The following is a 21,132-nucleotide window of genomic DNA, read 5'->3' on the forward strand; positions in this document are numbered from 1 at the left end:
GCACACGGCCATGCTCTGGTGAGCAGCCTGCCGCCCTGTCCACCTTTCTGGGTGGCTCTCTCTCTACTAAGCTTGGCTCCAAGGACATGACCGTCCAGTAGCCCCATGGCAAATTCTGGGGCTTCTCAGACCTGAAGGTGAGCATTTTGAGCTCCAGATATGAAAGGCAAGTCCTGGGTGTTGTGTTCATTGGAATCCTAAGAGCAGCACTGACTGGAGGGCTAAAGGCAAGGCCCATCCACAGTTCACAGACTTGAAACATCAACCCTTCAAAAAGGGTGGGAGGAGGCTGGGTACGGTGGCTCACTCCTGTAATCCCAGCACTTTGGGAGGCTGAGGCAGGTGGATCACTTGAGGCCAGAAGTGTGAGACCAGCCTGGCCAACGTGGTGAAACCCTGTCTGTACTAAAAATACAAAAATTATTTGTATTTTTGTGATGGTGGGCGCCTGTAGTCCCAGCTACTTGGGAGGCTGAGAATCACTGGAACCCAGGAGGTGGAGGTTGCAGTGAGATCGCGCCACTGCATTCCAGCCCAGGCAACAGAGCAGGAAAATGAAAAAGGGAAAGGTTTTCCTAAACTTATTACTAAGAGACCAGGTTTGCAGAGAACCAGGCTCCTGGAACGCAGGAGGCAACAGTTTGGATGTCCCGGGAGCAGCAGGTGGAGCATCTGGGGAATCCAGAAATCCACAGCAGGCAGCCTGCCAGGCATCTCCAGAAGAGGGACCAGGAAGCCTTTTGTTCAAGAAAGGATTCCAGTCTAGAAGGCTGGTGAGCTCCCGAGAGCTAAAGGCTCCCTTGCTGTGTCTAGTGAAAGGAGGACAAGAAACATGGTAGGAGCTCTTGGGGAAGGGCCTGGTTTCTCTGAAGTCAAGAAACACAAAGAGAAAGAGGCTCCAAGGTCTAAGCAAGGCCCAGAGGATCAAGCAGAGCTTCCTAGAGCTGGTGAAAGGGCTCAGGTGGGGTTCTGAGGCCCAGTGAGGTGACACTGGCCTCTGGGAAGGGCCAGCACAGGCAAGGACTCCAGCGGGAAAACTGACAGGGCAGAACTACCAAGTCCTTGGCCAAGCCTCTGGTTCGAATGGTGGCAAGTGGGCTGTGGATGAGGTCGGGGAGGATGTAAGAGGAGGCGCTGGCACTGACATGGCTGCCCAGGGGTGAGCCCAGAAGCCATGGGAGTCTGGAGAGGATGAGAGGAAGAGATGCAGGGCTGGGCGTGACAGCACCACCCTTCATCCGCTCCAGCTCTGCCCATCCAGGTGTAAGCTCTGGGGCAGGGGATTACCTGCTCTAGGCTTCCTTTTCCTCAACTGTGAAATGGGGTGACAGTGGAAAGACCTCAGAGTTACTGTGAAGGTATTTAGTTTTAATCCCCAGTAACAGCCTGAAGAATGGCTCCTGCCTTAAAGAGAGGGAACAGGATGGCTTTTTTAAGTGGTGCATCTCTGTGCTATCTACCATTCCAGATACTGCCTGTACCGTACACCCTCCTCAGACAGATGCTGCTATCCTCTTTGAGAAACAGGAGAATTAAGGCACAGAGAGGCAGAACCTGCCCATTACCATCACTTGTGCACTCATTCATTTAACAGACATTTATTAAGCGTCTACAATGTGCCAGGCCCTGGGGACACAGAGCTGGAGAATGTACAGTCCCTGCCCTCAAGGAGCTCACAGTCTGGGGGGACAGACATGTAAACACATGAGTTACAACGCGCTGCGTGAAGTGTGTGGCAGAGGTATAACAAAGTGCTGTGGGGCACAACAGAGCGACCAGTGAACTCTTCCTGGGCAGGGGTCAGGGAAGCCTTCACAGATCAGTCAATAAATACGGTGCCATGGGAGTGCCTTGCACACCACGGGCACTCACATCTTGAATGCTGGTCCACTGGAGGCCCTTGGGTTGGGCGGGAGCAAGGCCTACTTCTGCTTCCTCAGGACAACTTCCCCACCTCTGTCCTGGGACCACCTGCCCGCCTGGGCCTGCAGTGACTAAGGACGCTGCTCCCACTCCAGGGGCCAGTGACAGAGAGCAGCTATACAGAGGGCCCACCCCGCAGGATCCTTGACAGGAGCTGAGACAGAACAAACTGCTGCTTGTCTCCCTACCCTGGGGGCTGTGATATTCTTGGTAACATCTCTGAGCTGGTCTGTGAGGTCACTTCCTCTTTTAACACTGTTGAGGAGACTCCAAACCCTGTCTTTTCCTCGTCTTCTCATGTCGATTGGGCACCAGCCATTCTCAGGCACCAGAGCACAGCCCCACACGGGTGCCCCATCAGACAGGGCTGCCCACAGCAGCCTCCTACACCTGAACTGGGTTTCTCTGCACACTCACAGCCGTCTCACCAGCTCAATGAGCTGCTGGATGTTTTTGTTTTGGTTCGACAAGCCGTTCCTGATGTTTTCGAGTAGGCATCTCTTCAATTCAAATATGGCTTCACTGTAGGCCAAGCTCACTGCGGCCATGGGAGGTGCTCCGTGCCACAGGCCTGGGATGTGCCAGATGTGCTGCTTCTCAGGGTCGCAGAAGGCCAGGCCTGCCAGTGCCCGGAAGCCGTCGCCCTGTTTCTCCATCTGGGCTGCAGCCCTGCTCAGGTCACCAGGTGGATCCAGGAGCTGTCTCTTGTCTCTGGGCCTAGGGCCGGGAACAGATACATCATGAAGGTTCTGGTATACAAACTGGTAGTTGGGCATGTGCCCCGTTTTTTCTAACCTCAGAAATGCATGCAGAATAGCTGCTGGAATGTCCTTGGTTTCAGCTAGACTGATCACGGTGACATTGCTCAGTCCCATGAGCAGAGTGGCCAAGGAAGCCTCCAGCTCAAATCTGTCCCCAGCTGACGTCAAGGCCCCACCTATCAAGCCCCCGGAGTCTATCACCAGGATGTGGTCACAGCCCAGGTCCTGGCTGAAGCCCTCAGCCACTGTGATGAGCTGCATGAAGGCCCCTCGAGGACCGCAGCTCTTCCCTGTGGCAAACCGCAGCCCAAACATGGTGTTGAGGAGTGTGGACTTGCCCGTGCCTGGCACCCCGACGGTTGACAGAACCACCAGCCTTGACCGTCTCTCCAGTCGGACGTGCAGCTCCTTCAGGAGCCCTGTGACCCAGCGGACGGGCATGCTCAGCGTGCTCCCATCGATTAGCTCCAGAGGCAGCCCTGTCAGCAGCAGCTCCGAGGCCAAGCCTGGGAAGTGGGCAAAACGCCTCTGGCCTGCCGGCAGCCTCCCTGCCTCCACAAGACAGCTCTCAGCCTCATAAAACTGTCCCATCTCCCGCAAGAAGTGTTCCACCCCTAGGGGCTCAGGCCAGAGCGGCTCCCCCACGTCTGTGGTGCCCCCATGCTTTGGTCTCAGGGTGAGAAGCGTCTCCGGAGGCTGTCTCAGTCGCGGCTGGGCCACCCGTGCCAGGCCCCACTCCATCCACCTCAGGAAGTACTGCTTCTCACTCAAGGAGGGGCTGCTGATCCCCGAGATGAACTCCTGCACCCCCGAGGAGGGATCATGGCCGTTCTGCTGCATTCGAAGTTCTAGCAGCCGCCGCCTCAGCTCAGCCCTGTGCTTCTCAGGGGGGTCCACGGCCCACTGGAGCTGGCAGAACTCCTTCTCCACTTGGGCTGCCTTTCTCCAGGGGTCCCCCTGCAGCCTCAGCTCGTCCCTTCTGTAGGCATCCGAGTCTTTGATTTTCCTGGTAATCCTCTCCATCCGGTCTTTCGCTTTCTGACACTCCTCACAGTCCTCGTCGACCTTTAGGCCCAGTTTGCGGGCTGCGTGCGCCATGTCCTCCACAGATACCCGCCTGCAGGGTGCCCGCAGCACATTCCCAACGATGGCCCGGATCCTCTTCACGAAGCTGTCGCTGTCAGTGCTGCTGACCTTTACCAGGACATGTGAGTGGTCTATTTTCAGCACAGGAATTAACTTATTCAGAAATCTCAGGTTTGTGTTGCGCTTCCCACGGTAGGGACTCAGGATGAAGTAGTATTTTGTGGTTGACTCCTTCATGGAGTACAGCAATTTGTATTCCTTCTTACTGATATTGTCAGTCAATATAAACACAGCGGAGGAGATTTCTGTCAAGAGCTTAAACTGCAGCCAGTGAGACCCGATGTCACCTCTCAGGTTCAGAAAGGCCACAGGTTCTGGGAAAATGTCCAAGTCCTCCCTTCCGCTGGGAAAAAACCAGGAAATTTCTACCAACCCATCCGAAATCTCCCGGGCATTGGTGCCCAAGTTGAGGTCCCGATGCCAGAAGCAGTCCCACTGCCTGTGGCCCGGGCTGAGGACGGCGTTGAGAAGCTGGGACTTGGAGTTGCTACTGACGTCCATGCGCACGAAGGCGAAGGCGGGCGCCCTGGACAAGACCACGCTGTCTTCCCGGAAGCTCCCCATGCCCCTTGGGGGCTGGGACCACCATGTCCTCACAATGCCCCGCATGGCCCACAGCAGAAATGTATGGTAGTGGTTCTCCGAGTCAGGCAACACGAGTGGGAGTGCAAACTGGCAGAGGGCCATTTTCAACGCTATTTCTTGTTGCAGGAAACTGTCTGAGGAGAGCAGCAGGGCACAGAGAAGGTCTAAGGGGTTCACTGGCGTATCAGGGGTGGGCAGCTCAGAAAAGGAATAAATGTCGGCAGCAAGGTCATCAGCTGGGTCCCAGTAGATGATCTCCTCTTCCATCTGGCTCTCCTTCTCCACAGGCCTGGCGTCTGGGAGCACGTCCAGCACCATAGTGGTATTCCTGGCATCAGCATTGAGGGCCTGCAACTTCCTGAGGAAATTCCAGGGCAAGTCTTTGGGAACCTGAGGGGCCCAGTTCTTCATACTGTCAAAACTGATCTGCAGAGAGTCCTGGAGGCTGAGTTTCTGGACCTGGTACGTCTCTAGGCCCAAAAGTGACAGCATTTCTTGAAGCCTGCTTCTCTCCACTGTGGAAAGAAATGAAGACATAAGTGCTCACCCTGTGTTTCTGAGCTAGGGGCCAGGGAAGAGCTGGTGAAGGAGAGCCCAGCAGGATGGGGAGAGTGACGACCCCCTTCAGAGAGCAGAGTGCAGGCACAGGAGGCTCAGGGTGTGCTCAAGGCTGACCTGAGATCAAGGCAGGGCTGGAACCCGGACATCAAGGTACAATAGGTACCAACCTAACCACAGATATATGTGACATTAAACAAAAGAAAGAACAGAAATAAATAAGCTACATTTAACAACTGGAAGAGTTCTTGCAAAAGCCATATTTCTGGTCTTTCTAGAAACCTGTAAGATCTAACACTGAGCTCAAAATTAATTGGCTACAGTGAGCAGCACATGACTCCTACAAGCTGAATGCAGGCCTCACCTCCCCACTGTGTTGCTTCCGTGGGCTACTCAGAGTCACCGGGAAGTTCCCACAGGAGTCATAATCACTGAATCACTCTCTGGCTTTCTAGTTAATGTTTTTTTGTGTTTTTTTTCTCTCTAGAAATAAGAGAATATTTTAAAGGAACTAGAAAGAAATCACTAAGCATAAAGAGTCAGCAATTATAGCTAAACAACCATTTTGCAAACCTGAAATCAATAATGCAGGTTTTCTTTTTTTTCTTTCTTTTTTCCTCTCCCCTTTCTTTTTTTTTTAGACAGGGTCTTACTCTGTTACCCAGGCTGTAGTGCAGTGGCATGATTTCAGTTCACTGTAGCCTCAACCTCCTGGGCTCAAGAGATCCTCCCACCTCTGCCTCCCAAGTAGCTGGAACTACTGGTGTGTGCCACCACACCCAGCTCATCCTTGTATTTTTTTGTAGAGATGGGTTTTTGCCATGTTGCCCAGGCTGGTCTCGAACCCAGACTCAAGCAATCCACCTGTCTAGCCCTCTCAAAGTGCTGGGATTACAGGTGTGAGCCATGGTGCCTGGCTTTAATGCAGTTTTAAATTTTAAATGTATTAAAATATTCAGTGCAGACTGTTAGTAAGTGAGCACTTACTTGCGCAGATACTCAAATATCACCCTATACAATATAAGATCTTATAAGCTAGATGCTTGAAACAGTATTGCTACCTCTGAAGATTCCATTCACCATCCAGGTCTTGGCCCAGCACCTTACTAATGTTCATGCTGCATATTAATTAGTTGTCTTAAAATTTGTTGTTGTTTGAGGCAGTGTCTCACTCTGTCACCCAGGCTGGAAGGCAGTGGTGTGATCACAGCTTATTGCAGCCTTGATCTCCTAGGCTCAAGAGATCCACTCATCTCAGCTTCTGAGGAGCTGGGACTACAGGTGCACAAGACACTTGGCTAGTTTTTGTATGTTTTGTAGAGACGGGATTTTGCCATATTGCTCAGGCTGGTCTTGAACTCTCTGGCTCAAATGATCTGCCTGCCTCAGCCTCCCAAAGTGCTGGATGTGAGGCACCGTGCTGAGTCACTTTAAATGTTAATGCATGAAGTAAATACAAATTCCACTGCCCTGCAGCCTTTTTTCCAGTTCCTTTCTCGAGAGAGGAAGCAACGTGTATGATACTGCTTTGATGCTTAGATAAACCATGAAAGGAAACACTGGGTGACCCAGCCCTCTGCCTGTTTCCCAAGAAGGTCAAGTGATGGATTCAAGACCACTTTCCATACGACCAGCAGGACTCACAGTGCTGGACACTCTGCTCAGAGAGTTCCACAGGCATTGTGGCCACAGGACTGCCCCACAGAACATTAGGGGACCTATGAACTTGTTACAAAAACAAAAGTACTATATGGGAAGAGTCACATTGTGCCAAAACAGGTGTTACTCAGGTTTCCTAGCTTTGCCTGAATGAAACTAGGAACATTGTTTTTCTTGTCCAGACATGGAATAACTTTTTATTTTTTAAGTAGCATGGTAGTAAAAGGCAATGGGAAAAAGACAAAGAAAACACTTCTGCCCAGTGTGTGGCCCTTGGCAGGTTGTTTGGAAGCTCTGGGCCCAGTATCCTGATCTGCAAATGAAGGCGTTGGACCAGATAAATCGTTTCCAAACCGGGCTGTACATTAGAATCAATCACTTCAGGAACTTGTTAAAAAATGAAACATCTCTGGGTTTCACCTCCAAACATGCTAACTTATTAAAGGCAGTGAGTATGTTGGGTGGTGGAGGGGGGGCCTGGTTACTCTATGTGGTTAGCAAGCTTCCCAGGGTTTTTTTTTTTTTTTTTTTTTAGCAATATGGTTAACAATGTATAAAGGGTTAATGAAGTAGGGCATCCTAAACCTGAGTGCTCTGCCTCCCCAGGTGATTTGATACAGTCAGGTGTGGGAACTGCTGGCCTAGATGATAACCCCCTTTCATAGAACAGAGAGAAAAGGCAGAGAAAATGCTTACCTGTTGGAAAATCATTGTCCTGAGCCTCATTTGTACCATCTATGGAAAAAGCAATGGAAAATGAAGTGTCAATCAAATAATGCACCCTTGGCTGACACAAATTAATTGAAGCTAAACCTAGAACCCTTCTTTCTCACCAAGATGGCAACTTCTCCCAATTGTTCTAAATATAAAATCCCGGTTATCTGTCACTTTACCCACTCCCCCTCTCCCCAGTCCAATCTGTTGCCAAATCCTGTAGTTTCTACCTCCATAACGGAACTCGCAATCATCTCCTTCCATTTCTCTCCATTCCAAATCTAGAAGAAAAAAGAAACCAAATACATTTAGTTTCATCAGCAAGTTAGAACCTTTCTGTCAAAAATTTCAAGTGCTCATGCCTGTAACCCCAGCACTTTAGGAGGCTGAACAAGAGGAGTGCTTGAGTCCAGGAGTTTGAGACCAGCCTGGGCAACAAAGCAAGACCCTGTGTCTACAAAGACTTTTTTTAAAAAATTAGGCCAGGCATGGTGGCTCATGCCTGTAATCTCAGCACTTTGGGAGCCCAAGGCAGGAAAATCACTTGAGGTCAGGAATTTGAGACCAGCCAGCCTGGCCAACATGGCGAAAAACCATCTCTACTAAAAATACAAAAATTAGCTGGGCGTGGTGGCGCATGCCTGTAATTCCAGCTTGGAATTACTTGGGAGGCTGAGACAAAATAATTGCTTGAACCCAGGAGGCGGGGGTTGCAGTGAGCTGAGATCATGCCACTGCACTCCAGCCTGGGCGACAGAGTGAGGCTATCTCAAAAACAAACGAACAAACAAAAATTAGCTGGGCATGATGCCACGAGCCTGTGGTCCCAGCTGAGGCAGGAGGATTACTTGAGCCTGGGAGGTCAAGGCTGCAGTGAGCTGTGATTGCACCACTGCATTCCAGCGTGGGCATCAGAGCAAGACCCTGTCTCAAAAAAAAAAAACACCAAACAACAACAAAAAACGTCAAGTGACAATATGGTGGCTGATGTTTTAGTGCTATTATTGGTTTCAGTTTTTCCTATGTAAATGTAATGTTTTGCCAGCAAAAAATACATCACAAGGTAGTAATAGCTACACACAAGACACAGATTTGCTCTAGGATATATCTTTATAGAATTTTCTAAACTTTGGGAAAATAAAACATGAATAACCATAAAACTTACATAGATTAACCTTTGATTTTAGAAACTATTTAAAATGTAAGTTGACAGAAATTCCTTGACTATTTAAAAATTCAGCACCTGTCAATGTTATTTTTATTCCAGCATAAGGAATTTTTGTAATCACTTAAAATTGAAATGTACATCAGAGCACAAATACACAGAGGTGAGGTGCGGGGGGAGAGACAGTGGGGAAGAGTTGTGACTTACAAGTGAACTGTTATTTGTCCAAAGTCTCCAAACATCATGAAATGTCCATCAACATTAACATCTTAATTACAAAATGTGTTTAATGTAGTGCTAGTCAGATATTTATGTATGAACAAAGACCTAAAACTCTAGATTTGCTTGCAAGCACACAATATAAAGGAGCGAACAGGAGGCTTAGGAAGGAGGGAGCAAGACTTCTCAGTGCATGTTTTGACTATTTTGACTTTGATCCAAGAAAAAGTAACACCTAGGTTCCAAAATTTATATATATAAATATATATATATATACATATATATATATATATATATATATATTTTTTTTTTTTTTTTGAGATGGAGTCTTGCTGTGTTGCCCAGACTGGAGCGCAGTGGCGCGATCTCAGCTCAGTGCAAGCTCTGCCTCCCGGATTCATGCCATTCTCCTGCCTCAGCCTCCTGAGTAGGTGGGACTACAGGCGCCCGCCACCACACCCAGCTAATTTTTTTGTATTTTTAGTAGAGACAGGGTTTCACCGTGTTAGCCAGGATGGTCTCGATCTCCTGACCTTGTGATCCACCTGCCTTGGCCTCACAGAGCGTTGGGATTACAGGCGTGAGCCACCTTGCCCGGCCCCAAAATTTATATTTTTAAGAGCTTATGAATCAAGATTCGGATATTTTCAGATTTATGTTTTCTCATGATTTCCATGTAATCAGGTAGATAAACCTAACATTTCAAACCGTCTTCTTTGATGATATCTCTGGGAGATGGACATGTGAAAAGCAGGAAAGAGAAAAAGAAAATGGGGTCCAGGAAGCATGAGAAGATCAGAGAAGGCACAAGATCCACACACATCAACCACAATGCCAAGCAGTCCAAAGATTACATTATTCAAGTGAGGAAAAGCCATCAGAACAAATTTTCCAAGGAACCCAAAATGCCCTGTGAGGAGAGAAAATGGTTAGAGAAAAGAATGGGAAAGTCTAAAGATGCCAGAGATAGGGTTAGGGTGGTTCTGAGAGTAGTTTTAAGCTGGAGTCAGGAGTAACCTCCAGACCCAGAGAAAATAGGGCCTTGCTTGGTTAGGGGTGGGAAATAGCTCTGATGTGGATTTAATAGGTGGATGAGGTCAAGGATGCACAAAGTAGCCAAAGACTGAGGGTTACCAAACTAAGGAAACCACTGACTAGGGTTCGGAGAGAGCCTGATGTTCTGCAGCCATCAGCAGATTGTGGGGCAGGTGGAAGAGGAAGCAGCAGGGCTCCAGGCAAAGACACAAAACAGCAAACATGGGGGGCCACTGAGGGCTCAGCTCCATGAGCCAACGTCTCCACTATACTTCACATTGGGCAGGAAGTGACCTAAGGATGAGATAAGCTCTGACTCTGGGAGTACTGGGCTCACACGGAACACAGGGACAGAGGATAGGCCAGGCCCTACCACCATGGTGAGCCCAGGAATAACTGTTATGAGCCCATTGTTGGAGAACTCCAAGTAAGGCCATTAAAACCATTTTCAAGCCAGGTGGGGTGGTTCATATCTGTAACCACAGCAATTTGGGAGGAAAACGCAGGAGGATCACTTGAGTTCAGGAGTTCAAGACCAGCCTGGGCACAATAGCAAGACCCCTGTCTCTACAAAAAGTTTTTTAAAAAATTAGTCGGGTGCAGTGGCTCACACCTGTAGTCCTAGCTACTTGGGAGGCTGAGACAGGAGAATCCCTTGAGGCCAGGAGGTCAAGGCTGCAGTGAGCTATGATGGCCACCACTGTACTCCGGCTTGAGTGATGGAGTGAGACAAAAATAGAATGAGCTATGAAGTAGAATCTTCAGAGTTGAGTAAGATAAATAAATTATATCGTGTGACTACATAAAGTATAAACCAGGCAAAGCTAATCTATCCTTTTAGAAGTCCAGATAATGACAGATGAGAGGTGAAGTAACTGGAAGGGACCTTTGGGGGCATGGGTTTTCTTCAGCTTCTCGATCTGGTTTCTGGCTTACATAGGTAAGTTCATGTTTGTGAATATTTCTCAAGCTATTAATTGGAGTACTTTTCTGAATGTATAGTATAATTTTTTTTTTTTTTTTTAAAGACAGTCTTGCTCTGTCGCCCAGGCTGGAGTGCAGTGGTATGATCCCGGCTCACAGAAACCTCCACCTCCCAGGTTCGAGCGATTCTCCTGCCTCAACCTCCCGAGTAGCTAAGACTACAGGCGCCCACCATCCCTCCCAGCTAATTTTTGTATTTTTAGTAGAGACGGGGTTTCATCACATTGGTCAGGCTAGTCTCAAACTCCTGGCCTCAAGTGATCTGCCTATCTCGGCCTCCCAAAGTGCTGGGATAACAGGCATGAGCCACTGCACCTGGCCTGTATAGTATACTTTAATACAACTTGTTTTTAATCCTATAGGCTTAAAACCTTGCTTTAAGTCTTTAAAATGAAGCATATGCTCAAGAGGAACTCACATAACTCATGAAGAACAACTATAAAGAATAACCACTGGAGGTTTATTCAGTAGAGAGAGACACAGAGATCAAAGTTCGGGGAAGAACCAGGGTGTCTCTGTGCCTTGGTTTCCTCAAATGAAACAGGGATTGATAAGTATCTTAGAGGTCATAGTTAAAAGTAATTAAGACAACCTAGCTCACAATAAGCATCCAATAAGGCCATTCCCTCTCCTCGCCCCATCCCCATGCTTTCTTTCTCATTTGTCTAGAACAACACTCCCCAAGGGAACCTCCCAAGCTGAAGTTCTCCATCTGCAATGTCCAAGCTGCAGCCACTCACCATGCAGGCTGCTGAGCAAATACAGCTAGAGTATTTAGGAGGTGAAGTTTTAATTCTGTTTAATTTTAAACAATGTGCCTAGTGGCTACTGTGTTGAATAGCATAATTCTAGATGTGGAGAAACTAAAGGGCTTTGGGCAATTACTGCCTGATCCCAATTCTGCTACAAGCCTTGACCAACTGGCCAATAATCCCCATGGTGCCTACCTTCCAGAATTTAAGTTCCATGAAGGGCTTTGAGCCTTTTCATTTACTATTGTTTACAATATCGCAATGCTTACAACAATGTTAGTGCATGGTAAGTACTCAAAAAATATTTGTTTGAATGAATAAAATAGTGATTTTTTCCATAGAGACGGTGTCTCACTATGTTGCGCAGGTTGGTCTCAAACTCCTGGGTTCAAGCGAACCTCTTGCCTTGGCCTCCCAAAGTACTGGGATTACAGGTGTGAGCCACTGTATCCAGCCTAAAATAAAACTTTATTAACCAAAACTTATTTGCATATTTTTGTGGATTTTTGTTTTTGCATAACTCTATTAATATCCAATAGAACACTTTTTTTTTTGGCAGTTAAAACATAGTTTATTTTTTTAGCACATTCATTTTAAGAAGAACCTAATTTATGAAAGATATATCTAAAATGAGTTACTGGCTGGGCACGGTGGCTCACGCCTGTAATCCCAACACTTTGGGAGGCTGAGGCGGGTGGATCACCTGAGGTCAGGAGTTCGAGACCAGCCTGGCCAACATGGTGAAACTCATCTCTACTAAAAATACAAAAAATTAGCCGTGCATGGTGGCGCATGCCTGTAATCTCAGCTACTTGGGAGGCTGAGGCAGCAGAATCACTTGAACCCAGGAGGTGGAAGCTGCAGTGAGCTGAGATCGCGCCACTGCATTCCAGCCTGGGCAATAAAGGCGAAACTTGGTCTCAAAAAATAAAATAAAATATCAAATAAAATAATAAAAGAAAAGAAAATATAAAACAAAATGAGTTAGTAAGAGAGCTAAAGATATCTGGAGTGTGGCCACCATACCTTAAAGGTGAATTTACAAAGGGTGGCGTTACAGCCCCACCCCCAAATCCTCAGAGAAAGAAAAACCAGCCTGTATGGACCATAACCAGGAAGACTACAAGCCCCAGTGTGCTCTGGGACAATCCCAATTTATACCTGTTTTCCCAACATTACATCCCTTTCACTCTCAGAAGTGCCCACTTTAGAAGATAAACTATACAGTCACCTTAACTATGACCTACAATGGCAGTTATGCTAAAATTGGGGTAATGTGTTTCTGTTAAATTGTGTCATAATCACCTGTTTAACTGAATCCTGGGAACACTTACTCCATTTTCTAGAATAAAGTGTTGCCCATAAAAAAAACAAACAAAAAACACTATTTTGAATATATGAGGAATGCTTAAAAGACCCTTAGATGGAATCTTCTTGTAAAAGGAAAAATAAAAGCCTTAAACTTATTTATTTTTGAGATGCACAATCCCAAGTCCAGGAGGGGCTGGAACCCAGAATCCCAAGGGGACAGGAGAAGTACTTCAGCTCCAGAGTGGGCCCACATCCAATTCATCCAACTTTACCTGCAATGGCCACAGCTGTTCGTCTCTCTGATGCTTTTATTTCTGGGGCTACTTCTCCCAAATCTGAATGCCTGAAACAATTTCAGAAGAAAATTATAATTAAAAAAATGGAATACCACTTTCACCTATCAAACTGGCCGCATATAAAATCTCTTGGAGAGCTTTTAAAAACTATAAACCCTGGGTCACACCCCAGATCCATGAAACCAGAATCTCTGGGAGCTGGTCCTGGGTATCACTGCTTTTAAAAGTGCCCTCAATGATTCTGATATGCACCCACAGTTGAGAAACACTGGTCTAGAAAACCAGCACTCTCCAAAACTGCTGGCCAGAGCACAAATACAGTCATTCAGAAAGACAGAAAAATATACATACCCTTTGCCCAGTAATTCCACTTCTATCCTAAGGAAATAATTAAGATTTAGTTACAAAGATGTTGATGCCAGCTTTATATATAATAGCGAAAAACTGATGCCTTTTAAAATCAAAGTGCAATAACGGAATTATGGTCAAATTCTGCAGCCATTAAAAAATACGCTATGGATTTCTTTTGTGGACAAAAAGATGCTGGATGAGATATTAGGGAAAGCTGTTATATTAATTAGTCGGGGGAAAGTCAGGCTACAGAAAAGTATGCACAGTATGATTACAATTTAATAAAATTGTGTATGTTTATCTATAGGTATATATACAGAACTCTAGAAGGATGTTCATCTGAAGTTAACACTGTGGTCTGGAAGGGGTGATCCTGAATTATTTTAAATAGCTATGATAAGTGCAGTCTAATTAAGAATAAACTATTTTAGGCCTGGTGTGGTGGCTCACGCCTGCAATTCCAGCACTTTGGAAGGCTGAGGCGGGCGGATTACTTGAGGTCAGGAGTTCGAGACTGGCCTGGCCAACATGGTGAAACCCTGTCTCTACTAAAAATATAAAAATTAGCCAGGCGTGGTGGCAGGCGCCTGTAATCCCAGCTACTTCGGAGGCTAAGGCAGGAGAATCACTTGAACACAGGAGGCAGAGTTGCAGTGAGCCGAGATCGCACCACTGCACTCCAGCCTGGGTGACAAGAACAAAACTCCATCTCAAAAAAAAAAAAAAAAAGACTAAACTATTTTAGATGTATCATAGAGTGAGCAAATGAGTAAATGTATTGATTCTGCCAGGAGCCAGGGTGCTAACTAACTGCTGAAGAAAGGACATACAAACATAGAATGGAGAGTTACAGCAGAACTTGCAGAGGCGCAATGGAACTGGAGGCACTCGTGTGAACTGTGATTTCTATATGCATGCTTATGTGCATATGTGTTTAAGTGTGTAGATGTAGGTGTGCACACATATCTCTGTGTGTATACGAGTGTACACATGCATCTATTTCCTAACTGTCCACGGAAAGGGCCAAGAAGCAAAGACACTGTTGTGGCAATGGGCATGCCTAGCACCCTTTAATACCTTCCACGCTAAAAGAAACGGACTCCTTGGAGATCCTGAATGATGGCTGGGGCAAGGAAAGAACAGGAGGAGCCTGAGCATCTTATTTCAGAAAGTAAGGAAATGCTCGAAAACATGATGGGCACAGGAGCCAGCCTGAGGAACTCTCACTGGTCAAATCTAGGACAATGTGAGCACAAACATAAACACAGTAACTGATTTAAAACCATTGAAAACCAGCAATTAGTGAGTCCACATGGATAATAAATACATGGGCAGAAAGAGAAGGCTCTCTTGCTCACATCAGAACATGAAATGTGGAGGGGGATGCTGCAGTCAGAATAGTATCATTTTAGAGCAGGGTGCAGTGACTCATGCCTGTAATTCCAGCATCTGGGAGGCCAAAGCAAGGGGATCACTTGAGCCCAGGAGTTCAAGACTAGCCTGGGCAACATGGCAAAACCTCATCTCAACAAAAAATAATGAGCCACTGTACCCTATAGCCAGTAATTTTAAAAATTATAACACCAGCCAATCTGTCAACTCGGGCTCCAGCCCACTTCTAAGCCTTGCTAAGTTTCCTGTCTGTGTATCAGGCGGAGTCGGACCAAGACGGCAGAGAACAGCACTTCCAACGGCCCTACTCAGGGGCAAGGGAGCTCTCTGCAGTGCAGTTTTTGAAAATTACTAATATCACCATATATGTTTTTCTGATTCCAAAAATAAGACACATGTAAAATACAAGAAAGTATCATAAAAATGCTTTCCTGTCATATGTTTGAAAATTATACCCTATGTTAATCTGTCCTCTCCTCCTCTTAATCTACTCCCATTGCTCTAGCCCATTCTGTTAACAGATAGAAGAGTAGTGCTTTCGCACGCCCCAATTTGCTCCCTGATGACTAATGGCTGTTTAGTTTCATCTTCTTCTGGGGCCCACCCTGGCCCTTAATTAGCATATTTACTGTACACACCCTACTTCACTATTAACTTATAATCATGACCCTTTCCCCATATCCTTCACAATGCTGAAAAACATTCTACTTTTATTACTGGAAGCAATTTTTTTTTTTTTTTGAGATGGAGTCTTGCTTTGTCACCCAGGTTGGAGTGCAGTGGTGTGATCTTGGCTCACTGCAACCTCCGTCTCCTGGGTTCATGCAATTCTCCTGCCTCAGCCTCCCAAGTAGCTGGGATTACAGGCATGCGCCACCACGCCTGGCTAATTTTTGTATTTTTAATAGAGACAGGGTTTCACCATATTGGTCAGGCTGGTCTTGAACTCCTGACCTCAAGTGATCCACCCACCTCAGCCTCCCAAAGTGCTGGGATTACAGGTGTGAGCCACCACGCCCGGCCACTGGAAACTTTTTTTTTTTTTTTTTTTGAGACAGAGTCTCGCTCTGTTGCCCAGGCTGGAGTGCAGTGGCGTGATCTCGACTCACTGCAAGCTCTGCCTCCTGGGTTCACGCCATTCTCCTGCTTCAGCCTCCCGAGTAGCTGGGACTACAGGCGCCCACGACCACGCCCGGCTAATTTTTTTGTATTTTTTAGTAGAGACGGGGTTTCACCATGTTAGCCAGGATGGTCTCGATCTCCTGACCTCGTGATCCACCCGCCTCAGCCTCCCAAAGTGCTGGGATTACAGACGTGAACCACCGCGCCCAGCCATGGAAGCAATTTTTAAAAGGTAAATATTCTCTTGGTATTCAGAATACAGTCAGAACACAGGAAATAGCCAAGGTCCTTAAGCCCCCAGGGTGTGGTGTCAGACACTGCCTAGGGGCCACCTGCAGCAGCTGCTCACCTTCCCTCCTCTGGGCACTTCCCCACATAGACATCTCTCCAGGGCAGGGGTGACCTGATCGCCACCCTCAGGGTCCAGGGTGTCCACAGCTCCTTCTCACTAAGTTAGCCAGTGGACGGGCTGGTTTGTTGTCTGGCAGAAAGAATCAAGCCCCTGACCAACACCAGGGCAGCCATGCCATAAATGGCATGTGGCTGAACCCTACTTCCGGCAGGTCTGCTGATGGCCCATTGCTCATTCTGGAGGCCATCTGTCTTGCTGACCATCTAGCCACAGAAGACAATGCAGGGTTAACTTTCCTTGTCTTCTCACTTTTCCTTTTTCATTTCCTTCTTTTTTTTCTAACTGCCCAGCAGAATTATCTTAGGAGCTTTTCTGCTAAAACCTGGAGATTCTGATTTAGCAGACCTGGGTGTTCAGCACATAAGTAATTACCGACTAGGGGAAGTCACACCTTTGTTTTTCTGCTGACCTACCTCAGAATATGGCACTCCCTGGACAGTCCATCCATGCCTAGAATAGATAGGGCAAACCTCGTGGGCAGAACCCAAGTTTTGCTCCAGATCAATCACTAATTTCTAGCAACAAAACTGGTTCCTCTGCTGGATGGTGCCCATAAAACAAGATGGCATAGGAAAACAATTCTGAACAAGGTGAGCACCAGACAAATACAGGTACAATTACTCACTGTATTATAATCAACAATATATTTTTAAATGTGGAGTCCTAATTAGGGAAAAGGAGTCAGGCTGGTGGGACCAAGGAAAAGCAAAGAGAAAGCACATAAGCTGTAAGTCTGCCTTTCTTCATGGTCCAGGACACATAATCCTCCTGCGTAAATAAGTCACAATCTTCCTGCGCCCAGCTATCATCAGACCCTCGGCTGATAGAAAAATGCAAATTAGCTCACTGCAACCTTGGCATTATCAGTACTGCACATAGCTCTCTCCAGAAAACAGCACGAACACCATCCTATAAAATCCACAGCAAGCCTTTGTCTCCTCACAGTCAGCTCCCTTCTTTCTGACTTGCCCACTGCTTTCTTGCAACGCAATTTCATACTTGTGATTCTTATGCCTCAGCCATCCAAGTAGCTGGGATTACAGCATGCGCTACCACACCTGGCTACTTTTTGTATTTTTTTCCCCCCGAGACAGTCTTGCTCTGTCTCCCAGGCTGGAGTGCAGTGACGCCATCTCGGCTCACTGTAACCTACGCCCCCAGGTTCAAGCAATTCTCCTGCCTCAGCCTCCTGAGTAGCTGAGATTACAGCCATGTGCCACCATGCCCAGCTAATTTTTGTATTTTTAGTAGAGATGCGGTTTCACCATGTTGGCCAGGCTGGTCTCAAACTCCTGACCTCATGATCAGGCCTGCCTTGGCCTCCCAAAGTGCTGGGATTACAGGTATGAGCCACTATTGCCCAGCCTATTTTTTGTATTTTTTATAGAGACAGGGTTTCGCTATGTAGCCCAGGCTGGTCTCAAACTCCTGGGCTGATGCAATCCTCCTGCCTTGGCTTCCCAAAGTGTGGGGAATACAGGTGTGAGCCACTGCGCCCAGCCAATTTTTTTTTTTTTTTTTTTTTTGAGACGGAGTCTCACTCTGTTGCCTAGGCTGGAGTGCAGTGGTGCAATCTCGGCTCACTGCAACCTCTGCCTCCCAGGTTCAAGTGATTCTCCTGCCTCAGCCACCTGACCTCATGATCTGCCCACCTCGGCCTCCCAAAGTACTGGGATTACAGGCATGAGCCACCGCGAACAGCCCCAATTTTTTTTTTTTTAACTCACCAGTTTGTGGTACCTTTGACAGGAACCACAGGAAACTAATACAGTGTATGTGTGGCTTGACAGCTACACCAGCTTCCACCTCTGTCTTCACATGGCTTTCTCCCCTCTGGGTCTCTTCTCCACTTCTTGTAAGAATATCAGTCTTATTATATGTGAACCCACCCTAATCCACTGTGAACTCATTTTAACTAATCACATATAATTTTTTAGAAATCACACCCTATCTCCAAAAAAGATCACAATCACAGGTACTGTGGGTTAGGACTTCAACACTCCTTCTAGGGGGACACAAGTCAACACACGAGAAGATCTAAGCCAAAAATGGGGTGGGGGTGTCCCACCTCTAGAGAGTGACCACATGTTTAAGAAAAATTAAAACTCCCTGAAGAAGAAAAGGAGAAATAAAGTGTTTCCCAGACAAGTAAAAACTGAGGGAATGCATCACCACTAGACTCGGCCTACAAGAAGTGCTTAGGGGAATGTTATATCTGAAAGCAAACAAATGGTATCTGCCACCAAGAAAAAACAGGAAAGTAAAACCGGACATTCCAGCCTGGGCAAGTGAACGAGACCCCTATCTCTACAAAAAAATAAAATAAAGCTGGGTATGATGGTTCACACCTATCTATAATCCCAGCACTTTGGGAGGCCAATGTGGGAGGATCCCTTTATTCCAGGAGTTTGAGAGTGGCCTGGACAACATAGCAAGATGTCATCTCTCCAAAAATAATAATAATAAAAAAGCCAGGTGTGGTGGCAGGCTGTAGTCCCAGCTACTCAGGAGGCTGAGGTGAGAGGATCACCTGAGCCCTGGAAGGTCAAGGCTGCAGTGAACCATGACTGCACTGTTCCACTTGAGCCTAGGAGATAGAGAATGATTCTGTCTCAAAAAAAATATGTATTTTTTTAAAGTAAAATAAAATGAAAAAATTAGCTGGGCATGGTGCATGCACCTGTAGTCCCAGCTACTCAGGAGGCTGAGGTAGGAGGATTGCTTTAGCCTGGGACATCCAGGCTACAGTAGGCAGTGACTGTACCATTGTGCTCCAACTAAATGGATTAAAATGAGACCCAACTCTATGTTGTCTACAAGAAACTCACTTCACCTATAAAGAGACATACAGACTGAAAGTAAAAGGACAAAAAGGCTGGGTGCAGTGGCTCACGCCTATAATCCCAGCACTTTGGGAGGCCAAGGTGGGAGGATCACTTGAGGTCAGGAGTTCAAGACCAGCCTGGCCAACATGGTGAAACCCCATCTCTACTAAAAATACAAAAATTAGACGGGTGTGATGGCACATGCCTGTAATCCCAGCTACTTGGGAGGCCGAGGCAGGAGAATTGCTTGAACCCGGGAGACGGAGGTTGCACTAAGCTGAGATCGCACCACTGCACTCCAGCCTGGGTGACAGTGAGACTCCATCTCACACAAAAAGAAAAGAAAGTAAAGGGACGAAAAAAAAATATTCCATGCAAATGGAAACCAAAAGTATGCAGGAGTAGCTATACTTAGACAAAATAGACTTTACATGAAAAAACAAAGACAAAGAAGGTCATTATATAATGATAAAGGGATCAATTCAGCAAGAGGATATAACAATTGTAAATATATATGCATCTAATACTGTAGCACCCAGATATATAAAACAAATATTAGAGCTAAAGAGATAAATGCCAATACGATAATAGTTGGAGAATTCAATACCCATTTTCAGCACCGCAAATCACCTAGGCAGAAAATCAACAAAGCAACATCAGACTTAACTGCACTATAGACCAAATAGACCCAGACATTTACAGAACATTTTATCCAAAAGCTTCAAAATATACATTCTTCTCACCAGCACACAGAACACTCTCCAGGATAGATCCATGTAGTGGCACAAAATAAATCAACAAATTTTTTAAATTTTAATTTAATTTTTTGAGACACTCTCGTTCTGTTGCCCAGGCTGATGTGCAGTAGTACCATCTGAGCTCACTGTAACCTCCACCACCAGGGCTCAAGCAATCCTCCCACCTCAGCCTCCCAAGTAGCTGAAACTAACTACAGGTGCATGCCACCATGCCCAGCTAATTATTATTATTTTTTATTTTTTTTAGAGATGGGGTTTTGCTATGTTGCCCGGCTGATGTCAAACTCCTGGACTCAAGCAATCTACCTGTCTCGGTCTCCCAAAGTGCTGTAATTACAGGCGTGAGCCACTGTGCCTGGCCAAAAAATTTCTTAAAAATCAAAATCATATCAAGTGTCTTCTTAGATCACAAGGGAATAAAACTAGAAATCAATAATGAGAACTCTTGAGGCCAGGCTTGGTGGCTCATGAATGTAATTATGGCACTTTGGAAGGCTGAGGCAGGAGGATCGCTTGAGCTAGGAGTTTGAGAACAAGCCTAGGCAACAGAAGGAGACTTCATCTCTACAAAAAATTGGAAAAATCAGCCAACCATGGTGGCTCACGCCTGTGGTCCCAGCTACTTGAGAGGCTGAGGTGGGGAAATTGCTTGAGGCCGGGAGGTTGAAGCTGAGTAAGCTGTGATCACACCACTGCACTCCAGCCTGGGTGACAGAGAAAGACTCTGTCTCAAATTTAAACAAAAAAAACATAGACAAAGGGACTATGTCAAACTAAAAGGCTTCTGCACAGCAAACGAAACAGCCAACAGAGTGAAGACACAACCTGTAGAATGGGGGAAAATATTTGTACATTATTCATCCAATAAGAACTGATATCTAGAGTATACAAGGAACTCAACTCAATAGCAAAAAAAAAATAATAATTTGACTGAAAAGTAGGCAAAGGATCAAACAGGCATCTCTCAAAAGACATATATATGGCCAAGAAATAAACGAAAAAATGCTCAACATCCCTAATCATCAAGGAAATGCAAATCAAAATCATAAAAAAAGATATGATATCCCAGTTAGAGTGGCTATTATCAAAAAACCAGGCCAGGCTCAGTGGCTCACACCTATAATCTCAGTACTTCTGGAGGCCAAGGTGGATGGATTGTTTGAG

At 46.3% G+C, this 21,132-nt stretch overlaps 2 protein-coding genes across 6 annotated transcripts in view; both read right to left on the reverse strand.

Annotated features, from left to right (window-relative positions):
* URGCP-MRPS24 (URGCP-MRPS24 readthrough) overlaps positions 1–21,132 on the reverse strand; it is a 40,039-nt gene that overhangs the window by 7,773 nt on the left and 11,134 nt on the right. The window contains exons 2-4 of the mRNA NM_001204871.2: positions 13,085–13,155; positions 7,577–7,627; positions 7,329–7,367 (exon numbers count right to left, since the gene is read on the reverse strand). Coding sequence (NP_001191800.1) covers positions 7,329–7,367; positions 7,577–7,627; positions 13,085–13,155 — 161 coding nt within the window. The remainder of the gene's footprint in view (positions 1–7,328; positions 7,368–7,576; positions 7,628–13,084; positions 13,156–21,132) is intronic.
* URGCP (upregulator of cell proliferation) overlaps positions 1,583–21,132 on the reverse strand; it is a 50,814-nt gene continuing 31,264 nt past the window's right edge. For 3 of the 5 annotated variants that reach the window (NM_001077664.3, NM_001290076.2, NM_001077663.3), the window contains 5 exons: positions 13,460–13,486; positions 13,085–13,155; positions 7,577–7,627; positions 7,329–7,367; positions 1,583–4,930 (listed from right to left, as the gene is read on the reverse strand). In NM_001077664.3, the coding sequence (NP_001071132.1) occupies positions 2,337–4,930; positions 7,329–7,367; positions 7,577–7,610 (2,667 nt within the window). In that variant the 5' untranslated portion in view covers positions 7,611–7,627; positions 13,085–13,155; positions 13,460–13,486 and the 3' untranslated portion in view covers positions 1,583–2,336. The remainder of the gene's footprint in view (positions 4,931–7,328; positions 7,368–7,576; positions 7,628–13,084; positions 13,156–13,459; positions 13,487–21,132) is intronic. The other 2 variants (NM_001290075.2, NM_017920.5) reach the window with 2 other exon arrangements.

This window comes from Homo sapiens, chromosome 7 (assembly GCF_000001405.40).
Source record: "Homo sapiens chromosome 7, GRCh38.p14 Primary Assembly".
In the NCBI taxonomy this organism is placed as follows: domain Eukaryota; kingdom Metazoa; phylum Chordata; class Mammalia; order Primates; family Hominidae; genus Homo; species Homo sapiens.